Source organism: Homo sapiens, chromosome 2, assembly GCF_000001405.40.
Source record: "Homo sapiens chromosome 2, GRCh38.p14 Primary Assembly".
Classification (NCBI taxonomy): domain Eukaryota; kingdom Metazoa; phylum Chordata; class Mammalia; order Primates; family Hominidae; genus Homo; species Homo sapiens.
This window is the reverse complement of record NC_000002.12, coordinates 38,296,817-38,322,460: the sequence shown is the minus strand read 5'-3', so window position 1 is coordinate 38,322,460 and position 25,644 is coordinate 38,296,817. Positions and strand designations below refer to the sequence as shown.

Sequence of the window (25,644 nt, the reverse complement as noted above, 5' to 3'; positions counted from 1 at the left end):
AAAAGGGAGTACATTGAAGCTTATAAGTAAACTTTTTTGTTTGTTTAAGAAATACTTAGAGTACCAACTACAAGCCAGGCACACTTCTCTGTGATGGGAATACTTGTAAGAATGAAACAAACAAAACTTTTGTGAAACTTACCTTCTTGTAGAGGAGATAGAAATAAGTAAAATGTAGAGTAAAACCAGAGTTCTCTTAGAGGAATTATTTGTGTAGCCTGTAACTTTTACAAATAATAAATTCATTAAGTACCAGATTTTTTTTTTTTTGACATTGTGGGGGAATGAGATTCTCCATGTCAGAACTTACAACAGTGCAAGGCACTTTGATAGGAGCAGTTTGGTGAACAAAGATGATTGTTTGTAGCCTTTGCTCTCAAGAGACTCACAAAAAAACTGCAAAACCATATAAAGGTAACTCCTTATAAATGGTAACTTTTTTTGGTATGGTAGAATCAGGAAGATGTGTGTTGAGATCTATGGGGAGTATCAGGAGCACAGACAAGAAGAGTAAATTAAAGATGGATTGTTATCAGCCTGGGCAACGTGGCGAAACCCCCTCTCTACAAAAAATACCAAAATCAGCCAGGTGTGGTGGTGTGCACCTGCAGTCCCAGCTACTTAGGAGGCTGAGGTAGGAGGATCCTTTGAGTCCGGGAGGATGAGGCTTCATTGAGTTCTGATTGTGCCACTGCTCTCCAGCCTGGGTGACAGAGTGAGACCCTGTCTCAAAAAAAGAAAAAAAAGAAAAAGAGAAAAAAGGATTGTTATGCAGCAGATCTCCAGATGGTCTTATTGGTAGTGCGGAGCCACAGATGACTTTTCAGCAGGACAGTGGCACGATTACATTTCTTGTGAACATTCAGTGACTATGGAAAAATGGGTTAGAGGATAGAGCAGGAGTTGCATAGAGACCAATATGAAGTATCCAAATATGTAGTCAAGGGGCAGGATCACCAGTTTTACTTGTCCGGGGAGTGTCAAAATAATCTTCTGATTCCTGTGAAGGGTGCCTCCTGAAACACAAGTCCATCATATATACTGTGAATGGAATTGTCTCAGGTGGCAGCCCCTTCTGACCAGCATAGATGAGGTCTTTAAGTTGTAGGTATTGAAAACTGAAGAAAAAGAAATGAATCCAAGAGAAGTTTGTAATTGATAGGATTGGTGGCCTACTGGGGATGGGAGTTTTGTGGAATAATAATAATAATTAAAGATGGTTTGAAGTTTAAGGCTATGTTAGGTGATGGTCTGAATGATACTGTCTTTTTGTTTTGTTTTGTTTTGTTTGAGACAGTCTCTCTCTGTTGCCCAGGCTGGAGCGCAGTGGTGCGATCTCAGCTCACTGCAACCTCCACCTCCCACAACCCACCTGAAACCCGGGTTCAAGCGATTCTCCTCCCTCAGCCTCCCAAGTAGCTGGGATTACAGGCATGTGCCGCCACGCCTGGCTAATTTTTTTTTTTTTTTTTTGTCATTTTGGTAGAGAGGGGGTTTCACCAAGGCCAGGCTGGTCTTGAACTCCTAGCCTCAAGTGATCCACCTGCCTCAGCCTCTCAAAGTGCTGGGATTACAGGCGTGAGCCACTGTGCCTGGCTGACACTGTTTTGTTTTTGTTTTTGTTTTTGCCACTGTGTGTCTGCTTTTCATAAATTGCTTCATCCCTCATTGGTCCTGTCTTAACCATCTCTCCACTCCTAATTCACGCTTTGTAATTTGTTTTAGACTAGATATCCAAGCTTATTAGAAGTATTTCTGAAACAAAGGCGTTTTTCCTGTGGGGTACATTGAGTAAAGGCTATGTGGGCTTTAAGTATACTAAACTTTAGGGATCTTGACGTCTGTCAAAGGTATTCATTTATTATGTCCCACATTTAATTTTCTAGAAAAATTACCTTATATGTTAACTTTTGTATTATTTCATAATAACAATTTAGCCCTGTGGTTCTAGTTAAAAACTTTTATTATGGAAAATTTTAAACATACCCTAAAATAAAGAGAATTGTATAATGAACTCCAATGTATTTGTCAACATTTTGCTGGTCTTGTTTTATCTGTTCTCTTTTTTCCTTACCTCCCGGAATATTTTAAAGCAAATGCCAGGCATATCCTTTCACTGCAGATACTTGAGTATCTAATAGATAAGGACTCTTTTTTTTCCTAACCACAGTATCATTAGCACACCAAACAATCTTCCTTACCCTAATTTAACACCATCTAATGAGATAACCAGTTTGGGTTCATATTTTCCTGTTGGTTTAAAAAAGACGTTTTAAATAGATGGTTTGTTTAAATCAGGCTCCAAACAAGTCTTGGGGTTATTTTTTAAATTGATTTTTTTTGTTTTTGTTTTTGAGACGCAGTTTCGCTCTTTTGGCCAGGCTGGAGTGCAGTGGCGCGATCTCTGCTCACTGCAACCTCTGCCCACGGGTTCAAGTGATTCTCTTGCCTGAGCCTCCTGAGTAGCTGGGATTATAGGCATATGCCACAACACCTGGCTAATTTTTGTATTTTTAGTAGAGATGGAGTTTCGCCATGTTGGCCAGGCTGGTCTCGAACTCCTGACCTCAGGTGAGCCACCTGCCTCGTCCTCCCAAAGTGCTAGGGTTACAGGCATGAGCCACTGCACCCAGCCTAAAATTGATTATTTTTTAAAGAGGAAATGAAGGCAGTATGAAAACTTACTGTAAGCTATTCTGAGAAAGCAGTGCTGTTTTGACAGTCATTCTACCTGGAACTTAGTTTTGCTTATCTGTGTAACAACATGTTAAAATAATTGGTGCCGAGTTTTTTATGATTTTTAACATTTTAGGAAATATTTCTCTGTCTCTCTCTCTCTCTCTCTTTTTTTTTTTTGTTTTTGAGGCAGGATCTCACTCTGTCACCCAGGCTGGAGTATAGTGGCACAATCTCAGCTCACTGTAGCCTCAACCTCCCAGGTTCAGGTGATCCTCCTACCTCAGCCTGCTGAGTAGCCGGGACTACAGGAGTGTGCCGCCACGCCTGGCTAATTTTTGTACTTTTTGTAAAGATGGCGTTTTGCCACGTTGGCCAGGCTGGTCTCAAATTCCTGGCCTCAAGTGATATGCCCACTTCAGCCTCCCAAAGTGCTGGGATTACAGGCATGAGCTGTCATGCCCAGCCAGGATATCTTTCAGAAAAGGGGGAAAGTGAGTATAACCCCACTTATTTAGAAGCCTAGAGAGTAGTAGTGTGAGCTGATTTGAGAAGATTCGAGTTTGGAGGAGACCACGTCTCTATAAGAAAAAGAACCCCACATGGGATTTAAGGACTGCTTTGTAACTACTTGTTTGTTACACAGTGTTTTTTTTGTCTTTCCGGGTTTAGCTTCCCCATCTGTAAAATAAAGAATGGGTGATTTTTTGGTTTCTTTTATTTCTTAATTGTGTTGTATTTTACATTTATCCTTGACTTTAACAGGATTCTCAAAGTTGGATTGGTGGAAACAATGAACCATTGACAGGCTTTACATGGCGAGGTGGCTGTGAAAGAGAAACAACAGGCATACAAGTTTGGAATGAAGTATTTGTGATTGACAGACCTAATGGAACTAAAGTAAAATTCTGTTTATACTTTTCTACCCTGTATTCTTTCTTGGGCTATTTTCCAGTATTAAAAATCAAAACAACACAGAACTATTAATGTTTGATAACTTTAACATACGGATTATTATGTCAAATGTATGAGATATAAGTACTTTTCTTGATTTAATTACTGCTTTTCAAATTTATCATTTGATTTTTTTTATAGTCATTTTTGGCAACTGTTTTACTAAATATTTTAAACTCTCAAATTCCTAGGTTGCTGTGCTGCTTATGGATACCCAGGGTGCCTTTGATAGCCAGTCAACTATCAAAGACTGTGCAACGGTGTTTGCTCTGAGCACTATGACTAGCTCTGTCCAGGTGAGACACAAGATTAAGTGGTGCGATCAGTTCACGTAATCATTTGGCCCCTTTTTTTTTTCTTTTTTGAGACAGAGTTTCACTCTTGTTGCCCAGGCTGGAGTACAGTGGCGTGATCTCGGCTCACTGCAACCTCTGCCTCCTGGGTTCATTCTCCTAACCCGAGTAGCTGAGATTACAGGCCCCCGCCACCATGCCCAGCTAATTTTTTTGTATTTTTAGTAGAGACGGGTTTCACCACGTTGGGCAGGCTGGTCTCGAACTCCTGACCTCAGGTGACCCGCCCACCTCGGCCTCCCCAAGTGCTGGGATTACAGGCGTGAGCCACTGAGCCTGGCATTTGCCCCTCTTGAAAATGCCTTTTTAATTTTTTTTGAGATGGATTCTCACTATGTTGCCCAGGTTGGAGTGCAGTGGCTATTCATGGGTGTGATCATGCACACTCTAGCTTTTGGGCTGAAGTGATCCTCCTGCCTCAGCCTCCTGAGTAGCTGGGACTGTCAGCATATGCCACCTTGTGCTGGCAAAATGCCTTTTGATTGAAGGGAAAAAAAAGGAAGCTATTTACATTTCTTGAGAGCTATTTACATTTCTTATTGGTTATTTACATTTCCATGCATGGTTTTCTGGCTTATGATGTGAAATTTTGTACTTTGGATAGTTACAAAGGATGCAATAAACCAACAACCAGTCTCTTTAGTTTTTCATTATGGAATACATACTTTTTTTTTTAAAGGAAAAGATATCACATGTTATCTGTAATTGAAATCAGATAGATGGCTACCAGACACAGTAATATGGAGAGTATATTTTTGTTTTTTTGGCTAAAACAAACAAAAAACCCAGGTAATTAAGCTTAGAAGTCTAGTTTTTTATTCTGTATCTATGACAAGTGGTACTCAGTTATTTGAACTAAAGGAGATAAAAGCAGAGTAATTACTTAATGTTTAATTTAGGAAACCCAGACAAGGCTTATGTAATAATAAACTGAGGATTTTTAGCACCTTCATTTAGGAAGGGATAAAATCCCTTCTCTTTTTCACTTATATTCAAATTGTGTTTGGTGTTCTATCCGGTTCTAGTTTCTTCAGGCTAGGCCATTTCTTTTCTGTATAATTTAGATGGATTGGACTGAATTAAACTACCACATGTCATTTGGTGTTTCTTTACTTTTTCTTTTCTGAGATCATCTGTGGCTGATACATCTCTGAAAAATGAATTATTGAAGTATGGCGGTTAGGCCCAGCTGGTGATGGTGTATCAAGAAGTATATTTGCAAATATTTTTTTAAAATGGGTATGTGATCCTCCCAAGATAAGAAATTGTTCTTATCAATGGTAGATCATAGGTGATGCTGTCACAGTGTCTTGGATTTTTTTATGCTTTCCAGTAATGTCTGGAACATATGACTCGTCTCTCTAAGCTCCCATTTTCCTCCTTCCTCAGTTTGAAGTACCTAGCCATCAGAGTGGAAAGAAGGTTGGCTGTTAACCTGAGCTAAAAGAAGAATACTCTTCAGCTTGGCTTCAGTTTATTATAGGGTTGGGATATTTGTCATTACCCACTAAGTGACGCTGGTGGGGACCCTCTAAGTCTCTTTTTTTCTCTGATCTTGCAAGATGGCACAGCTGTGATTCCCTTGAAGCAAGCAGAAGCCCCTCAGGTTAGCTGGCTCTAGAGGGAGTTCTCGAGTTCTCTGTCCTAAAACTTATCCCTTAGTCTTTTTTTGTTTATTTATTCAACTTTTTGATAGTAAGAGACCTGGTTTTAGACAGCCACTTAAAGCTGTGCAGCCACTTTGTTGTCTGTAAAATGAGTTTTACTCATCTTGCCTATCTTGGATGTGGTTGTTGTGTGCAGTCAGAAATGAGAGCTAAATGAGATAATGCATATGAAAGTGCTTTGTAAAGTATAAATAACCAAGAAGATTAAGATTATGATTATTTTCTTCCTTGCCTTTGGGTGGGGGGGGTAGTTTTCTTTCCTTATGTAAGATATCTGGCTGATAGATAAATGATAATTTGATCTTCTTGTCATTTATTCCTTCAACAAATACATACTGAGCACCTGTTACATACAAGACAGTATGCTAAGTACTAATGATCTAAGTTAAATAAATCTCTTTCTCTGTTTGCTGTTTGCAACCTGGCCCTGACAATGAAAGGATCCAGACCTATTTTCTAAAAGCAGAGGCCCACATAGGTTGGTCATGGTGTCAGGGTTTATGTTAAAATCTAAAGTTTAATCACCTCAGTCATCAATTACTTTTTAAATCCTTGTTTGGAATTAGTAGCTAAGAATATCATTTTAGGTTTGCTGGCCTAAATTGACTATATTCTTGACCTCCAAGTGGTTTAGCCAGAGTATCACTTATTTGCTCCTAGAACAGATTGTTCTCTCTTCGGAGTCACCCTGGTTCCTAAGATGTAAGTTATTTCTTAGCAGAGGTGATATTTGTTGATGGCCACTTTTCTCCTGTGGCAGTGTAGATTACTGTCTAAAGATCTGTCTTAGAATTAATGGATGAAAATCCCCGTTTCCTGAGGATACTTAGACCCTCCTTTATCAACTCTAGTCTCCTCCAAAAAATTCTGGAAAGGGCAAGAGTGCCACCTACTGTTACTTTTATTAGCTTCCACAGGCCAGTAAAATTGTCATGTTGAGTGTAAGTGAAAACTGATGAGTAAGTAAACTGAGGAGTGTGAGTAAAAAGAGAACCACACTAGAGTCAGTAGTAGTGGAGGTACCCCTGAGTAACTGTATACTCTGATTGTACCAGGGAAGAATTTATCTTTGTAAACTGTTGCCCCTTATATTCACTAATTTAGAAAAATGATGGTGGAAATAACCTACACTCTTTAAAAAATGATCGTATCTTAACATTAAAGAGCTTAGAGAAGGAGTACAAGAAACCTACTAGATACCACACTTGTTCTTCTACCACTTTTAGGCCATGAGTATACATATATTCATGCTTTTTGCATATTTTACCACCACTGCTTCTTCCTTAATATTCTATCTTGACTATTGTTAGGAAAAAAGAGAAAATCCTTTTCACATGTCAGTTGTCAAGATAGTAGTTAAATGATTCCTTTGCGCTGAGATACAAAATAACCTTTTTTCCACAAGTAAAGTTATACAGAAGCTGGGTATTCAGAACAAAACACTAATAAAAAACAAAATAAATTTTGTTTCAACAGGTATATAATCTGTCTCAGAATATTCAAGAAGATGATCTTCAACATTTGCAAGTACGTATTTCTTTTTTTAATTTTTATTTTTTGAGATGGAGTTTCGCTCTTGTTCCCCAGACTAGAGTACGGTGGCACAATCTTGGTTCACTGCAACCTCCCCCTCCCAAGTTCAAGGGATTCTCCTGCCTCAGCCTCCCAAGTAGCTGGCATTACAGGCATGTGCCACCATGCCTGGCTAATTTTGTATTTTTAGTGGAGATGAAGTTTCACCATGTTGGTCAGGCTGGTCTTGAACTTCTAACCTTGGGTGATCCGCCCGCCTCGGCCTCCCAAAGTGCTGGGATTACCCGGCGTGAGCCGCTGCGCCCGTCTGCGAGCACATATTTCTTAAAGAAAATGTGCCAACTATTGAAATTTAATTCTCACTTTATTATGAATTTACACTTGGAAGCCTATAATACTGGTAACACGATTGAATGTTATATGGGTTTAAACTGGTGTATGACTTCTTAACTGGAAGAAATTTTGTACATACCTAGTGTGTTAGAAAATTAAATGTTTGGCTTTGAAATGATTTTAAAGGTTCTGGTACCTGGAGCTTTGGTGTGGAACAGGTTTACACATGTCTTCTTTCAATCTCTTTAGAGGCATTATTTTAACTAACTCTATTTAATAGTTATTTACAGAGTATGGAAGACTTGCGATGGAAGAAATCTACCAGAAACCATTTCAGGTAAAAAAGTTATTCTAACATTTTAAAGATTAGCCTATGAGAAGTTGTGAAGCCACCTCAGTTTGTAATTTTGGAGACACCAGGATATTACAATAGACTCATTGCTAGCAACAGATTCAGTGCAATCGAAACTAACCTTTGGTAGTATCATCAGCATACTTATCAGTAGGCGAACAGGATAAATAGAATAAATGAATCTAGGCTAATTCTTAATGCTTTCACTTAGATTAAGGGGAGTAATGTTTCTCTTAACAGATGTTATTCTAAACTTAAGACAATAGGAAATATATGACAGTCATGCCATTTTTTTTTTATACGTGGTAACTACAGAATGTTACAGGTTTCTTTTTTGTGGTTTACTACAAGTTGAAATTAGTTCTGTTACTCTTTATTTTGGTTTCATATAGAAAAGTTCCAGATAGTTTATTTTTTGAAGCAAGTGTAATTTGTAAGTTGCCATTAATACTGTTTGGTGAGCTGCAGTTACAGTAGGAGAGCATGACTCTACCATGTTTGCTCCTAAGTGTGTGAAGCCTTTCCGGTATGACAGCATTGCTACTGATTGTTAATCTTAATGGGTTTACATTGATTCTGCCTCACTCTTGTCTGGCTAGTATGGTCACTTTTATTAAGTAGTTGAGCAGATGATGCCTTCGTTTTTGGATATATAGGTGAAATATACCCTATTTGGCCTATATCAGTTTTTTCTGAACTGGGATCATTTTGCCACCCAAGGGGACATTTGCTAATGTCTGGAGACATTTTTGGTTGTCACAGTTTTGTGGGAGAGCTTAGTGCCTCTTGGTATCTAGCATATAGAGGCCAGAAATATGGTTCAACGTTCTACAATACACAGGACAGCCACACACAACTAAGAATTAACTGACCCAAAATGTCAGCAGTGCTGACCCAAAATGTCAGCATTTGAGAAATCTAACCCTATATGAGTAAAAACATCCTCTGTGAGTGAAAATGTCCTTATTGACCCCAGATCTATAATCAGTCTAGATAGCCATCTAGAATTAGTTGGTCTTGTAGTTACACAACCATGATTTAAAATTATGATCCGTGTGTCCTGATACACCCATTTTTCATTTTTAAAGTCCTGTATTACTGCTTGTGGTGACTCTTTCTTTATATTTAGTGAAGTTCTTCAGTGGCAGCGATTGCTTGGTATAGGGCCTGAGAATGTTGTTTAAGTGGGTCCTTGATATAACCATGACCAGTACTGACCATTTAGTTACTATAACTTTTGATAAGGATTGTTTAGGAGAGTAAGAGAGGCTTCAATTGTTAAGAGTTGTGATTTTTTCGTAAATTTTCTTTATTGTAAAATAAACAATTTTTATTTTTTCTGTGTATAGACATTAATGTTTTTGATTCGAGATTGGAGCTATCCTTATGAACATTCATATGGTTTGGAAGGTGGAAAGCAATTTCTTGAAAAGAGATTACAGGTAAGACCCTAATGCTTAAAGAGGAGAACATAAGCACCAAGCTAGGCAAACGGGTGGGCTGTCCGGACTGCTGGTCACATTACCAGTATTTACGTGTCGTTGGAATAAAGTATTCCAGGTTAGCCCAAGTGACTCTGTTTGTAATTGATGAAAAGTAAAGTGGTTGCATTCCTACCAAAGAAGACAGTGTCCTTGAATCAAAATTAAGGATCATGATCCTTTATTCCTAAAGGTAGCCCCCCATGGAAGTACTTGTGTATTAGTCTGTTCTCACACAGCATAAAGAACTACTTGAGACTGGGTAATTTATGAAGAAAAGAGGTTTAATTGACTCACAGTTCCACAGGCTTAACAGGAAGCATGACTGGGAGGCCTCAGGAAACTTACAATCATGGCGGATGGTGAAGGGAAAAGCAAGCACCTTCTTTTTTTTTTTTTTTTTTTAAGACAGTCTCACACTATTGCCTGGGCTGGAGTGCAATGGCACGATCTTGGCTCACTGCAACCTCCGCTTCCCGGGTTCAAGCGATTCTCCTGCCTCAGCCTCCCGTAGCTGGGATTACAGGCGCCCGCCACCACGCCTGGCATATTTTTTGTATTTTTTAGCAGAGACGGGGTTTCACCATGTTGGCCAGGCTGGTCTTGAACTCCTGACCTTGTGATCGGCCTACCTCGGCCTCCCAAAGTGCTGGGATTACAGGCGTGAGCCACCGCACCCAGCCAGCAAGCACCTTCTTCACAAGATGGCAGGAGAGAGAGAGTGAAGGGGGAAGTGCCACATACTTTTTAACAACCAGATCTCGTGATAACTCACTCACTGTTAAAAGAACAGCAAGGGGGATTTCTGCTCCCATGAATCACCTCCAACCAGGCCCCTCCCCCGACACATGGGCATTACAATTTGAGATGAGATTTGGGTGGGGACATAGAGCCAAACCATATCAATTTGGGAAACCTGCAGGTCAGATACTTACAGGCTACCCATCTACTCACACACACAAAGGATACATAAAGACCCCTTTATTCATTAGGAGGGTGCTGTCTTTCATTGATAAGATTTTATTTGTCTATGGGAATGATGCATTTGGTTTCTCAACTGCATTAAAGACTTGGGGTATGATATAATTTTCTTTTAGTTTTAAAATGAGATTAAAACCAATTCAACATTCTTAGATTATTTGAAAGGCATTTCCAGACCCCACTTTTGGAAATAATTTCAGTCATCAGCATTTTCTGTTTCTGGTTTGTTCAGAAGAAATTAACACAAAGCACAATAGACATACTAACTAAACTCAGAATTATGTAACTCAAAGACAAGAAAGTTTTTAAACTTTTTATTGAAATGTTATACATATATTCAGAAAATTGCTCAAATCATAAGTGTGTAGCTTGATGAATTTATAAAAAATGAACATAGCCATTTAGCCAGCACCTAGAAGCACTCACCTCCATACAGCAACCTTCCCCCAAAACCCTCTACCAGTATCCTGACTTCTCACAGGCTTTGTTTTTGTACTTTATGTGGATGGAATCACATACAGAATGTATTTGAGTCTAGCTTTTTTTACCCAATATTATGTTTCTGAGGTTAATCCATGTTGCATATAGTTTAATTTATTTATTCTCATTGCTGTATAGTATCTATTGAATGAATAGACAACAGTTTTTCCATTCTGCTGTTGATGGGAGATTTAGGTAGTTTCCAGGTTTTAATTATAAATAGCGCATATTTTGTTAAAATTGTTTTCCAGAAGAGTGTTTAGGAGACTGTGTGAGTTATATTGGGATAAATGAGTAATTATCTAAAATGTTTCTAAGTTTAAGATTTTTTTCCCCCTAATACATGGCAGTTTCCCTTCTCAAAATTCTGGTAACTAGCATAAATCATAAATAATCATGTAGAGAGGGACCTGAAATTCTAACACATTTCTAAGGTCTTTGTACTGCACTGTAATTTTTTTTATCTTAGCTTTTACTTTGTTCAGGGGCTAAACTTTTTATTTGTAGGCAAATTTATACTTTTTTTTTTGTTTTGTTCTGTTTTGTTGCTGTTGTAAGTACTTTAAAGGTAAATTCTTAATTTATTTACTGGTGTATAAGTCACAGCCATAATTTGTTATTTGGTTATTAGATACTGTGATTAACTACCTTATTTGTAGTTTTTGCTGTTCCAGGCAGCTTACTTGGGAAAAACATCTTTTGTGGTTTAAGAAAATGTGGGGTTGGCTGGGTGCGGTGGCTCATGCCTGTAATCCCAGCACTTTGGGAGGCCGAGGCGGGTGGATTACCTGAGGTTGGAAGTTCAAGATCAGCCTGACCAACCCTGTCTCTACTAAAAATACAAAATTAGCCGGGCATGGTGGTGCACGCCTGTAATCCCAGCTACTCGGGAGGCTGAGGCAGGAGAATCACTTGAACCTGGGAGGCGGAGGTTGCGGTGAGCCGAGATTGCACCATTGCACTCCAGCCTGGGCAACAAGAGCGAAACTCTGTCTTTAAAAAAAAAAAAAAAAAAAAAAAAGTGGGGTCTTAACAAAGTGGTCAGAAATGGGCCTTCATAATTTTTTGTATTGTCAAAAAAGACTCCTTAGGAGTACCATCTGAGTTAAGTGTGCATAGTGTGCATGCGAGTCTGTGTGCATTTTCTTTAAAAAAATTTTCTTTCTTCTGTTTACAATTTCACCTGTCTCTCTCCGCCCTCAGGTAAAACAAAATCAACATGAAGAGCTTCAGAATGTAAGGAAGCACATACACAATTGTTTCTCAAATCTTGGTTGCTTCCTTTTGCCACATCCTGGTCTTAAAGTTGCAACTAATCCTAGTTTTGATGGGAGATTGAAAGGTGGGAATTCCCATTCTTGCTAAAATCTGAACTTATTTATTAGAGGTGGAAAGTTTTTTAAGAAAATACATGACGCCTTAAATGTCCTGTCTTATACTGGAGAATGTTTGGATGCATTGTTCATGTTGTGGTTGTAATGCTCTGTGTTGTTTCTCTAGCATTCCATTGATTTGTTTGCAGCTGTCTAGCATATTGATTAACCTATTTTATAATGTCTGTTGCTCAGCAGTGATGTCCTGAAAATTCTGAAGGCTGAGAGCATTTCTTTTCAATTGATTGCAGTCTGCTAAAAGGCTTTATCATTTTATTATATTGATGAAATCAGATATAAGTGTCTGTTTCAGGAGTGATAGTACAGTTTATGTATGTTGTAGGATTATTTTGAGTGTGTTGGCAAAACATTTGGGGATTGACAAAACTTTTACAGTATGGCTGGTAAAACATAATCTAGTAGTAAAATTTAATACAATTTTATGAATTGTTTGCCTCTTGAAAAGGACATTTTCGTTAATACTAAATGTGAAATTTGTCTTGGTAGTCCACAAATTTATTGATGTTTTATTTGTTATTTGAACTGGCAGTGTTACTAGGGGGTTGGGGAAAATGGGCTAGTAGAGTAAGGGGGATTATATTTTTTCCTATGAGATATGGCATGTTGGATGAGCTTTTTTTTAAAAAATGAATCCACTTCAGTAATAGATACTATGTATTCTTATTTCATAAAACAGAATTTTATGAAATCGTACCAGTGGGGACCTAATTTTTTTTGGACTAATATGTTGCTCAATTTTTTGTTTTCTAGATATTGATGAAGACTTTAAACGAGAGCTTCGAAATCTGGTTCCATTGCTGCTTGCCCCTGAAAATTTGGTAGAAAAAGAGATAAGTGGATCTAAAGTCACTTGTAGAGATCTTGTAGAATATTTTAAGGTAGGTGAGCTCTTAAACAGTTTTGTCTAAGATAGAAATGTAGTTGACTTAAAACTCATCTGTATGTATAAGAAATTTCTTGTCTTTATTTTAAAACAAAAAAGAGTAAGATTTGTGATTTATCTTTCTGCCTTGAATTAGATGTATCTGTATTTAAGGATATTTAAAAGATTATAGCAGATTTCTGTCTCCTAGACAGTGATTTAATTTATTTACAGAATTATCTTACTTTTTCTCCATCTCAGATATGGAGAGAACAAGCCATTCATCATACTCTAATACTACTCTGTCATTAGTGAATGATAATAGGAATGGAAAGCATAATTTTACATCCTAAGTTCTCACAAAAACACTCCCTCAGAGTTCTGAGGACTTGATAAGAACAGCTGAAAGTATTTATATTGGTTCAAGTAAAGTACTCTTAGGTTTTTTTTTTTTCCCTCTGTTCTTCTCTAGTCTTTATAGCTTGCCTGCCAGAACAAGACCGCTGTGGAAGGTTGTATTATTTGTAGTAGTTTTAACTAAGAGTGTATTTTGTTCACTTATTGGATACTTGATAGTTACTCTCATATTATCTTTGTTTAGTTATGAATGAATTTTTTAAAATTTATTTTTACTTTTAATTTTTAATTTTTGTGGGTACGTAGTATATATACTTATGGGGTACATGAGATATTTTTGATACAGGCATACAATGTCTAATAATCATATTAGAGTAAATAGGGTGTCCATCACCTCAAGCCTGTATCCCTTCCTTATGTTACAGACAATCCAATTATACTCTTTGTTATTTTAAAATGTATAGTAAGTTATTATTGACTGTAACTACATTGTTATGCTATCAAATACTAGATCTTATTCTAACTATATTTTTGTACCCATTAACCATCTCTGCCTCCCCTCCACCCTCTGACTACCTTTCCTAGACTCTAGTAACCATCTTTCTAGTACTCTCTATCGCATGAGTTCAGTTGTTTAAATTTTTAGCTCCCACAAATAAGTGAGAACATGTGAAGTTTGTTTTTTCTGTGTCTGGCTTATTTCACTTAACATAAAGTCCTCCAGTTCCACCATGTTGTTGGAAATGACAGGATCTCATTCTTTTATATGGATGAGTAGTACTTCATCGTGTATATGTACCACATTTCTTTATCCATTCGTATATTGATAGACACAGGTTGCTTCCAAATTGTAGCTGTAGTGACTAGTGCTGCAGTAAACATGAAAGTGCAGATGTATCTTCTATATACTGATTTTTTTCTTTTGGGTATATACCTAGCAGCAGCATTGCTGGATCATATGGTCGTTTTATTTTTAGTCTTTTGAGGAACCCCCAAACTGTTCTCCATAGTGGTTGTACTAATTTACCTTTCTGCCAACAGTGTACGAAGATTCCCTTTTCTCTACATCCTTGCCAACATTTGTTATTGCCTGTCTTTTGGATAAAAACAATTTTAAATGGAGAAAGATGATATCTTTCTGTAGTTTTGATTTGCATTTCTCTGATGATCAGTGATGTTTTCATATCCTGTATCCCATTTGTTTGTCTCCTTTTGAGAAATGTCTGTTCAGATCTTTTGCCCGTTTTTTGATCAGATCATTTGATTTTTTTTTCTTTTCCCTGTAGAGTTGTTTGAACTCCTTATATAGTCTGGTTACTAATCCCTTATCAGACTAGTAGTTTGCAAATGTCTTCTCCCAGTCTGTGGGTTGCGTCTTCACTTTTCTGATGTGCAAAAGCTTTTTAACTTGATATGATCCCATTCGTTTATTTTTGCTTTGGTTGCCTGTGCTTGTAGGGTATTACTGAAGAAATCTTTTCCCAGACCAGACCAATTTCCTGGAAGGTTTCCCCAATGTTTTCTTCTTTTTTTCTTTTTGAAATGGAGCGTTGCTCTGTCACCCAGGCTGGACTGCAGTGGCGTGATCTCGGCTTGCTGTAACGTCCGCCTCCCAGGTTCAAGCAATTCGCCTGGCCTCAGCCTGGGCGACAGAGCAAGGCTCCATTTCAAAAAAAAAAAGAAAAGAAAACACTGGGGAAACCCTCCAGGACATTGCTCTGGGAAAAGATTTCTTCAGTAATACCCTGCAAGCACATTATCAAGTTAAAAGGTTTTGCACATCAAAAAAGTAGCTGGGATTACAGGCAGCTGCCACCATGCCTAGCTGATTTTTGTATTTTTAGTAGAGACAGGGTTTCACCATGTTGGCCAGGCTGGTCTCGAACTCCTGATCTCAGGTGATCTGCCTGCATCTGCCTCCCAAAGTGCTGGGATTACAGGTGTGAGCCATCATACCTGGCCACCAATGTGTTCTTTTAGTAGTTTCATAGTTTGGGTCTTAGGTTTAAGTCTTTAATCCATTTTGATTTGATTTTTGTATATGGCTAGAGATGGGGTCTAGTTTCATTCCTCTGCATATGGATATTCAGTTTTCCCAGCACCATTTATTGAAGCCACTGTCATTTTCTCAAAGTTTGTACTGAAGTACAACTTCCAGTACTGTGTAGAATAGCAGTGGTGAAAGTGGGTATCCTTGTTTTGTTTCAGATCTTAAAGGAAAGGCTTTCAATTTTTTCCCAGTTCAGTAAGATACTAGCTGTGGGTCTGTTGTATACAGCTTTTATTATGTTGAGATCTGTTTCTTCTGTACCTTTTGAGGATTTTTACCATGAAGGGATGTTGAATTTTATCCAGTGCTTTTTCAGCATCAATTGAAATGGTCATATGGTTTTTGTTCTTCATTCTGGTGATAACGATGTATCACACTCATTGACTGACTGATTGATTGATTGATTGGTGTATGTTGAACTGTCCTTGCATCCCTGCCTGACCCTAGGTGATGATGAATGATCTTTTTAATGTGTTGTTGAATTCAGTTTGCTAGTATTTTGTTGAGGATTTTTGCAACAGTGTTCATCAGGGATATTGGCCTGTAATTTTTTGCTGAGTCTTTGTCTGGTTTTGGTATCAGGGTAATACTGGCCTTGTAGTATTGGTTTGGAAATATTCCCTCCTCCTCTGGTTTTTGGAATAGTTGAGTAGGATTGGTATTAGTTCTTTAAATGTTTGATAAAATTCAGCAATGAAGCCATTAGCTTTCGGGCTTTTCTTTGTTGGGAGACTTTTTATTATGGCTTTGATCTCGTTACTTGTTATTGGTCTGTACGGGTTTTAGATTTATTCATGGATCAATCTTGGTAGGTTGTATATGTCTAGGAATTGATACATTTCTTCTAGGCTTTCCCATTTATTGGCATATAGTTGTTCATGGTAGCCTCTAATGATCCTTTGGATTTCTGTGGTATCAGTTGCAATGTCTCCTTTTTCATCTCTGATTTTATTTATTTGGGTCATCTCTTTTTTTCTTAGTGTGGCTAAAGGTTTGTTGACTTTGTTTATCTTTTTAAAAAATCAACTTTTTGCTTCATTGATCTTTTGTATTGTTTTTATTTCAATTTCGCTAACTTCTTCTAATTTTGGGTTTAGTTTGCTCTTCCTTTTCTGTTTTTTTAAGATGTATGGTTAGGTTGTTTATTTGAAGTGTTTCCTCTTTTTTGATGTAGGCACTTATTACCATATAGTTTCTTAGTACTGCTTAACGCTGTATCCCATATATTTGGTATGTTGTGTTTCCGTTTTCATTTGTTTCAAGAATGTGTTTATTTCTTTCTTAATTTCTTCACTGATCTAGTGGTCATTCAAGAGCCTATTGTATTAATATAATTTCCATGTGTTTGTATAGTTTCCAAAATTCCTCGTTATTGATTTTATTCCATTGTGGTCAGAGAAGATACTTGATATAATTTCAATTTTTTTGATTTTTTTTTTGAGACCAAGTGTCGCTGTTTTGCCCAGGCTGGAGTGCAGCGGAGCAGTCTCGGCTCACTGCAACCTCTACCTCCCAGGTTCAAGTGATTCTCCTGCCTCAGTCTCCTGAGTAGCTGAGACTACAGTAACGCACCACCATGCCCAGCTAATTTTTTGTATTTTTAGTAGAGATGGGGTTTCACCATGTTGGCCAGGCTGGTCTCAAACTCCTGACGTCAAGTGGTCCACCTGCCCTCAAGTGGTCCACCTGCCTTGGCCTCCCAAAGTGCTGGGATTACAGGCATGAGCCACTGCGCCCGGTCCTCTTTCTTTAGTTTCTAATAATACTTGCTTTATATATCTGGGTGCTCCAGTGTTGGGTGCATATATATTTACAATTGTTATATCCTCTTGCTGAATTGATCCCTTTATCATTATATAATGACCTTCTTTGGCTGATATAAATGTAGCTTCTTCTGCTCTTTTTTTTTGGTTTCCATTTGCATGGAGTATCTTTTTCCATACCTTTATTTTCAGTCTGTGTCTTTATAGATGAAGTGTGTATCACCATTTTTTAAAACCCATTCAGCCACTCTGTGCCTTTTAATTGGAGAGTTTAGCCCATTTACACTCAATGTTACTGATAAGTAAGGAGTTAACCTCTGTCATTTTGTTACTGTTTTCTGGTGGTTTTGTGGTCTTCCTACCTGCCTGTCTTCCTTTTAGTGAAGGTGATTTTCTCTGGTGGTATGTTTTAATTTCTTTTTATTTTTTGTGTATCTGTTGTATGTCTTTTGAGGTTACCATGAGGTTTGCAACTATAATATATTTATTTTAAACTGATAACACTGATTGCCTAAACAAACTAAATAACAAGGAAAGAGAAAACTAATAAAAATTCTACACTTTAACTTCATCCCCCCACTTTTTAAACTTTTCGTTGTTTCTATTGATAGTATACCGTCTATGTCTGGAAAAGTTGTGGTTGTTAATTAATATTTTTTATAGGTTCGTCTTTTAGTCTTTCTACTCAGGATATGAGTTGTTTACACACCACAATTATTGTTAATAATATTCTGTTTTTCTGTGTGTTTACTATTCCCAGTGAGTTTTGGACCTTCAAATCATTTCTTATTGCTCATTAAAATCCTTTTCTTTCAGATTGAAGAACTCTCTTTAACATTTATTGTAGGACAGGTCTGATGTTGATAAAATTCCTCAGCTTTTGTTTGAGGAAGTCTTTATTTCTCCTTCATGTTTGAAGTATTTTCACTGGATATACTATTCTAGGAAAAATGTTTTTTTTCTTCAGCACTTTATGTCATGCTACTCTCTCCTGGCCTGTAAGGTTTCCGCTGAGAAGTCTACTCCCAGATGTGTTGGAACTCTTTTGTATGTTGTTTGTTTCTTTTCTGTTGATGCATTTAGAATCCATTCGTGCTTCTTGTTGTTGTTGTGGTGGTGGTTTAATAGAAATGGGGCCTTGCTGTGTTTAACAGGCTGGTCTCCAACTCCTGGCCTCAAGTGATCCTCCCATCTCAGCCTGCCAAGGTGCTGAGATTACAGGTGTGAGCCACCGTGCCTGGCCTGTTGTTGTTTTTAACAGAGACGTCATTTCTCTACGTTGTCCAGGCTGGTCTTGAACTCCAGGGTCAGGCAGTTCCCCCACCTTGACCTCCCAAAGTGCTGGGATTACAGGCATGAGCCACCACGCCCAGCCAGGATCCATTCTTTACCGTTGACCTTTGGGAGTTTGCTTGTTACATGTCTTGAGGTAGTCTTATTTGGGTCAAGTCTGCTTGGTGTTCTATAATCTTTTGTTCTTAAATATTGGTATCTAGGTTTGGGTAGTTCTTTGTTATTGCTTTGTATAAACTTTCTACCGCTGTCTCTTTAGCTACTCCTCTTTAAGGCAATGAACTCTTAGATTTGCCCTTTTGGGGCTATTTTCTAGATCTTGTAGGCATGCTTCATTCTTTTTCATTCTTTTTTCTTTTGTCTCAGCTGTGTATTTTCAAATAGCCTGTCTCCAAGCTGACTAATTCTTCTGCTTGTTCAGGTCTTGTGTTAAGCTCTGAGGCTGGGTGAGGTGGCTCATGCCTGTAATCCTAGCACTTTGGGAGGCTGAGGTGGGCAGATCACTTGAGACCAGTCTGGGCAACATGGTGAAACCTTGTCTCTACAAAAAATACAAAAATTAGCCAGGCATGATGGCGCACGCGTGTAGTCCCAGCTACTTGGGACACTGAGGTAGGAGGATCCTTTGAGCCTGGGATGCAGAGGTTGCAGTGAGCCAGGATTGCACCATTGCACTCCAGTCTGGGAGACAGAGCAAAACCCTGTCTCAAAAAAATAAAATAAAAAAGAGGTTTGGATGCATTCTTCAGTATGTCAGTTGCATTTTTCGGATCCAGGATTTCTGCTTTATTCTTTATAATTATTTCAGTCTCTTTGTTCACTTTATCTGAAAGGATTCTGAATTCCTTCTCTGTGTTATCTTGAATTTCTTTGAGTTTCCTCAAAACTGCTATTTTGAATTCTCTGAAAGGTCAGTTATCTCTGTCTCTCCAGGATTGGTCACTGGTGCTTTATTTCAGTTTGTTTAGTGAGGTCATGTTTTCTTGGATGGTCTTGATGCTTGTGAATATTTGTTGGTGTCTGGACATTGAAGAGTTAGGTATTTGTTATAGTCTTTGCAGTCTGGGCTTGTTTGTACCTGTCATCCTTGGGAAGGCTTTCTAACTATTTGAAGGGACTTGGGTGTTGTGATCTTGGTCACTGCAGCTGTATCTGCATTAGGGACATTTCAAGCCCATAATGCTGTGGCTCTTGCAGATTTGTAGAGGTACTGCCTTGGTGCTCTTCGGTAAGATCCAGGAGAATTCCCTGGATTACCAGGCAGAGACTCTTGTTCTCTTCCATTACATTCTCCCAAACAAATGGAGTCTCTGTCTCTGTGCTGAGCTGCCTGGAGCTGGGGGAGGGGGTGACACAAGCACCATTGTGGCCACCATCCCTGGGACTTCACTGGGTCAGACCTGAAGGCAGCACAGCAATGGGTCTTGCCCAAGGCCCATTGTGACTATTGTGTGGTTATTGCCTGTGGTCAGTCAAGGCCCAGAGGTTCTACAATCAGCAGGTGGCAAATCTAGCAAGTTCCCTCTGGCCTTGGGTGGGTCCAGAGATGCTCTCTGGTGATCCGCCTGCCTTGGCCTCCCAAATTGCTGGGATTACAGGTGTGAGCCATCACACCTGGCCTTTGTCTCCTTTACTCAAGCAGGAGACTCTCCTCATAGCCACAACATCTGGGAATGTGCTGGGTCACACCTGAAGCCAGCACATTTCTGAATCTCACCCAAGGCCCATAGTGAGTACTGCCTGGCTACCACTACTGCTTATTCAGAGCCCAGAGGCTCTTGAGTCAGCACGTGATGAACCCTGCCAGGACTTGGTCATACCCCTCAAGACAGTGGGTTCCCTTCCAGCCCAGGGTGTGTTTAGAAATCTTGTCTGGGAACTGGGGACTGAAATTGGGGCCTTAGGGCTCTGCCTTATGCCGCATTCTACTTTGGCTGAGCTGGTATCCAAATTGCAAGACAAAGTCCTCTTTACTCTCCCCTCTCCTCTCCTCACGCAGAAGGAAAGACTCTCTCTCAGAGCTGTGAACTACACTGCCTGAGCTTGTGTAGGGGGAGTGACACTAGCAGTCCCTTGGCTGCCCCAGCTGGAGTCTTACTATATCATATGCACCCCAGGTCCACTGGCTCTGAGCCCAGCCCAGCACCAGGACCTGCCCAGGAATTGCAGTCCTTGTGGCCTAGATGGCCTTTCAAGTTTATTCAGGACCTCAGAGCACTGTAGCCCATGGTGGCAGGACTGGCTGCCTAGGGCTGGTCTAAATTCTTCCTCCATGGGTGCTGGCTGAGTTCTTTCCACTGTGGCAGGGCAGCGCTGAGTTTCAATGCAAAAATTCCACAGTCACTGCTTTCGACTTCCCTAAGCACATAGATTGTCTCTCCACACCATGTGGTTGCTGCTGAGAGGATGGGGGAGGGGTGGTGTAGGTGATTCAAGACTGTTTTTCACATCCTCTTCAGTGCCTCTTTCAGTGATCTGAAGTTAAAACCAGGTACTGTGATTGCTCACCTGATTTTTGGTTCTTATGAAGGTGGTTTTTTATGTAGATAGTTGTCAATTTGATATTCCTTGGAGGTGGTGATCACTGGAGGCTTCTATTTGGCCATCTTGCTCTGCCTCCTTCCCAGTTATGAATGAATCTTGTCAGTGGAAAGTTGAGATGAGCCAGGCACGGTGGCTTATGCCTGTAATCCCAGCACTTTGGGAGGCTAAAGTGGGCGAATCACCTGAGGTCGGGAGTTCGAGACCAGCCTGGCCAACGTGGTGAAACCCCGTCTCTCCTAAAAATACGAAATTAGCTGGATGTGGTGGCGCATGCCTGTAATCCCAGCTACTCGGGAGGCTGAGGCAGGACAGTTGCTTGAACCCAGGAGGCGGAGGTTGTGGTGAGCTGAGGTCGTGCCGTTGCACTCCAGCCTGGGCAATAAGAGCGAAATTCCTTCTCAAAAAAAAAAAAGAAAGTTGAGATGAAAGACCCTATATGGACTTCTAACAAACTCTTATCTTTTCCTTCTTACTCTTAAACCACAAATTAGTTTTTTTTTTTTTTTTCCTTCTTGAGCTGAAATACAATTTAAGCTGGTCAAAGTAAAATACTGGATAAAATTGTTTCTTCAGCTGGATGTGGTGGCACACACCTTGTAGTTTCAGCCACTTGGAAAACTGAGGCAGGAGGATCACTTGAGCCCAGGAATTCGAGGTTGCAGTAAGCTGTGATCATCCCACTGCACTCCAGCCTCAGTGTCAGTGTGAGACCCCATCTCTAAAGAAAGAGAAAAAAAAGTTTTTTAAAAATATTAAAACACTGGCAATAGGGGGTAATTGTGAATTTCTTTTCATAAAGAAGATGGCATTTTATATCTAACTTTGAGTTATAACTTTTATGTTATATTTGTTATAGAAATACCTAGGATATTATTTAGCAGCATATAATTTAATAATATTGAGAATAGGGTTAACTTTGTTGGAATAAGGTGATTTTTAAAGCCTAGAATTTACTTTTAATGGTGTTAATTATTTTTATATTTAATGACTTTTCTTTCTTTGGGGATGTGGAGCCAAATTGCATAATCCGTCAGTCTAACAAATCTTCTCCCTTTTTAGGCTTACATCAAAATCTATCAAGGAGAAGAACTTCCACATCCAAAGTCCATGCTTCAGGTAGAGAGAGAGAGAGTGATATGTGTTGTACATATACTTATTTATGAGGGAGAATAAAAATCTTTGCTTTAGAGAGAAATGCTGAAAATGGGGGGTGCTTTTTTGCATGCAAACACATTTTGCTTAAGGCCGTATGTGTCGTGGGTCCTAAGGTTTCATACAATTTTTTTTTTGTAACTGCAGATTGTAGGCCTTCCATGTGTCCAGGCCACCAGAAATAAGAGTCCTCAGTACCTTCTCTTCAGATGCTCAAAGTATAGGAAAATTTCTATTTGATAAGATGGCTTGATGTGGGCCTCTCTGAACTAAGCTGCTTCTATTCTGAGTCTTTGACAATGAATGTTGTTTGGAATAAGTCTTATTTTTATTTGGTGTTAATGATTTAGAGCTACTTCTAGTGAATATAGTCTCACTTCTTTTTCTGTCTTTCAAATGGTGGTCTTTTGGGACAGTGTCATTTTACCCCATTCATATTTTAAAACATTTACTACTTTAGGCTATTTTTCCATTTTATAGTAGATTAAACAGTATTTGCCGATAAAACTTCGTGCAGTAAGGTTTGTGGGTTTGAAAATGTCTTGTATAATACTGATTATGAGAGAGAGAACCATATGGGTAATTCTCGATTCCTAACACCTGGAGATCCACATATTTTAGGGTTATATCTATTTATCTTTATCCATTTCCTGAGCATATGTGGTGTTTTCTGCAGACACACTTTAACATCAACCTAAGCAAAACAAAATCAGGCAGGCAGTCCTATTAGAACCACTTACCATTATATCCTTTATACCAACGTTCCCTTGCATAGGAAAGAAAAACTGGAAGTTACTTTCTCTGGTTCATTTTCAGACTTGTTTATTGTACATAACTTATTGTGTTAATCAGAATTTTTAGAGTCATAGAGTATTTTTTGCATAATAATGGCATATTTTATTTTTTAGGCAACAGCTGAAGCTAATAATCTTGCTGCAGTAGCAGGAGCAAGAGATACCTATTGTAAAAGTATGGAACAGGTTTGTACCTAAAATTTAAATTTGATGCTGGAGTGAGAAGATTTTTAAATTAAAAAAAAAAAAATTAAAAAAATTTTTTAAATAATTGAGCGAATTTGTGCAGCTTATGGTACATTATTCCCTAATTCCCCTTTATGGTCTTTGCTGGAAATAAACTATAAGAAAATAATTCACATTATTTGAGAGCAGAATTTGAGTTAGTAAATTATTATATAAACTCTACTGAAATATCTTCTGACAAATGTGTGATTCAGAGTGCTGTTATTGGTGACTTCTGATGTTGGTAGCATTAGTTTAAGGCCAGTAGCAGTTTCTGTACTTGCTTGCTCAAACATTAAAATATCTTTTTGGGGCATTATCATCTTTTACCCGTTCTCTTGCCAGCAATTTTGTGTGCTATTATGGTATATGATGGTCAAGTGAAGGCAGATACAGAGCACAGTGTAAAATTTTTTTGTCTTCAGTTTCCGTTAGTCATATTTGGAAAATGATTTTGCTTGAGTAGGTTCAACATATAAACAATAACTAGATTATGATAACCTGTGAGGTATTGTAAGTGAGTTTAAAACTGACTCAATCATGTAAGTGGTTTGACTTTCTGAGACTAAAAACTATGAACAGGAACTTCTTTCAAGTGTTAATTATTTCTAGCATGTAATACTGTAATTCTGTCTGTCCAGGTATGTGGAGGGGACAAGCCTTACATTGCACCTTCAGATCTGGAGCGAAAACACTTGGATCTCAAGGAAGTGGCGATAAAACAATTTCGTTCAGTAAAAAAGATGGGTGGAGATGAGTTCTGCCGTCGTTATCAGGACCAGCTTGAAGCTGAAATTGAAGAAACCTATGCAAATTTTATAAAGCACAATGATGGCAAAAATATCTTCTATGCTGCTCGTACCCCAGCCACACTGTTTGCGGTCATGTTTGCTATGTATATAATCTCAGGACTGACTGGCTTCATTGGCCTAAACTCTATAGCTGTCTTGTGTAACCTTGTCATGGGGTTAGCACTGATATTTCTTTGTACTTGGGCATATGTTAAATACTCTGGGGAGTTCAGAGAAATTGGAACAGTGATTGATCAGATTGCTGAAACACTATGGGAACAGGTTGGTATCTATCTTTTGGTTTTTTAGTGACTAATCTTATTTTCCTGTGACTTTCCATCCTTTGCAGTATTTGTACTCCGACTTTGCCTTCATGTGAGGAATGTCAAAAGGATGTCTTCTGTTTTGTTCAGATGTAGAATCTTTATGAATTGAAGATTTTTTCTTTAAAGTTATAATTTTAATGTACTTTGGTTAGCCTAAATCTGTACTATCCTCTGGATAGATTCTTAGTTGTAGGCCTGATTGTATCAGACGGTGGGCAGGGTCAGAGTCTGTAATGATTTTTTTCTTTGAGGAAAGAAAATATAAACAATGAATGATTTTCAAGGTAAGGAAAAGAAGTTTGGAAGTGGTGCTTTCGGAAAGCAAAAGAAGTTTCTTCCTAATATTGGCAAGCAGCAATGCAGGAGAAATGCTGGATGGTAGACAGGTCTTCATTGCCTTCCATGAAGATGGTAGTGATTTCCTGATGTACTATGAGGAACAATCCCGTAGGGATTTCTTACCAAGGAAACTTTGACCTTTGTGTTTTGGAAATATTAATTAGTAAAGCAAAGCGCCATGAACAGAGAACCATGCTCCGTCGTAATCTTTTACCTCGAACCAGAATTCAAAGCCCCAGGCTGTGAACTCTTGCCTGCAAGTATCTGCTAAGGAAAGCCATTTTGTGTATCTGCCTCCGGTGTGCTGGAATTACCTGTGGACCGCTTATGGATGTCATTAAGATGATCTTCGTGAAATACTTGAACATCATGTCAAGGACCAGAATGAAAGCTACGGTTATTAATGACGAACGCTATAATAGGCATTTGAGATGCCATTTTTGGGCTCATGAAATATTGAGCTTATTTTGAAGATCTAGGATATGCAGGTCCATGTTTGTTTTGGCTATAAACTTGAAGACCGAAGAAGCAGACCATTTTTTTTGAAGAAAGTTGATTGGATATTGACTTTTCTTGTAATGATGTTATTTTATAAAGTGACCCACTATATTAATTTGGATTTTGTGTTTACTCTTTAGAGAAATGCTCTATTCAGATCCGATTGGGAAGTTTATGTTTGGATATTTATTCTATTTAAATTTTTATCTCAATCTCACTACTTGATGTTTCTTTGATATCTTCTAATAGAAGATGGATGCAAAGCTATCGCAACTTCACTTTTAAGAAAAAATTAGCTATTTTAAAATTTTGGATCATTTTCTGCAATATAATTTTCAATAATTGTACAATATCTTCTTTTGAGAAATATTCATCTCTTAAACAGCATTGATTCTAGGATTTTGGAGGTACCATTATTACAAAACAATTAAATGGAAGAATCTAAA

At 38.5% G+C, this 25,644-nt stretch overlaps 1 protein-coding gene across 10 annotated transcripts in view; it reads left to right on the top strand.

Annotated features, from left to right (window-relative positions):
• ATL2 (atlastin GTPase 2) overlaps positions 1-25,644 on the top strand; it is an 84,631-nt gene that overhangs the window by 56,124 nt on the left and 2,863 nt on the right. For 9 of the 10 annotated variants that reach the window (NM_001330458.2, NM_001330461.2, NM_001135673.4 and 6 more), the window contains 10 exons: positions 3,442-3,576; positions 3,822-3,926; positions 7,127-7,177; positions 7,797-7,853; positions 9,218-9,310; positions 12,014-12,152; positions 12,955-13,082; positions 22,133-22,189; positions 23,134-23,205; positions 23,886-24,317. In NM_001330458.2, the coding sequence (NP_001317387.1) occupies positions 3,837-3,926; positions 7,127-7,177; positions 7,797-7,853; positions 9,218-9,310; positions 12,014-12,152; positions 12,955-13,082; positions 22,133-22,189; positions 23,134-23,205; positions 23,886-24,317 (1,119 nt within the window). In that variant the 5' untranslated portion in view covers positions 3,442-3,576; positions 3,822-3,836. Of the gene's footprint in view, positions 1-3,441; positions 3,577-3,821; positions 5,223-7,126; positions 7,178-7,796; positions 7,854-9,217; positions 9,311-12,013; positions 12,153-12,954; positions 13,083-22,132; positions 22,190-23,133; positions 23,206-23,885; positions 24,318-25,644 lie in introns of all 10 variants that reach the window. The other variant, NM_001330464.2, reaches the window with a different exon arrangement.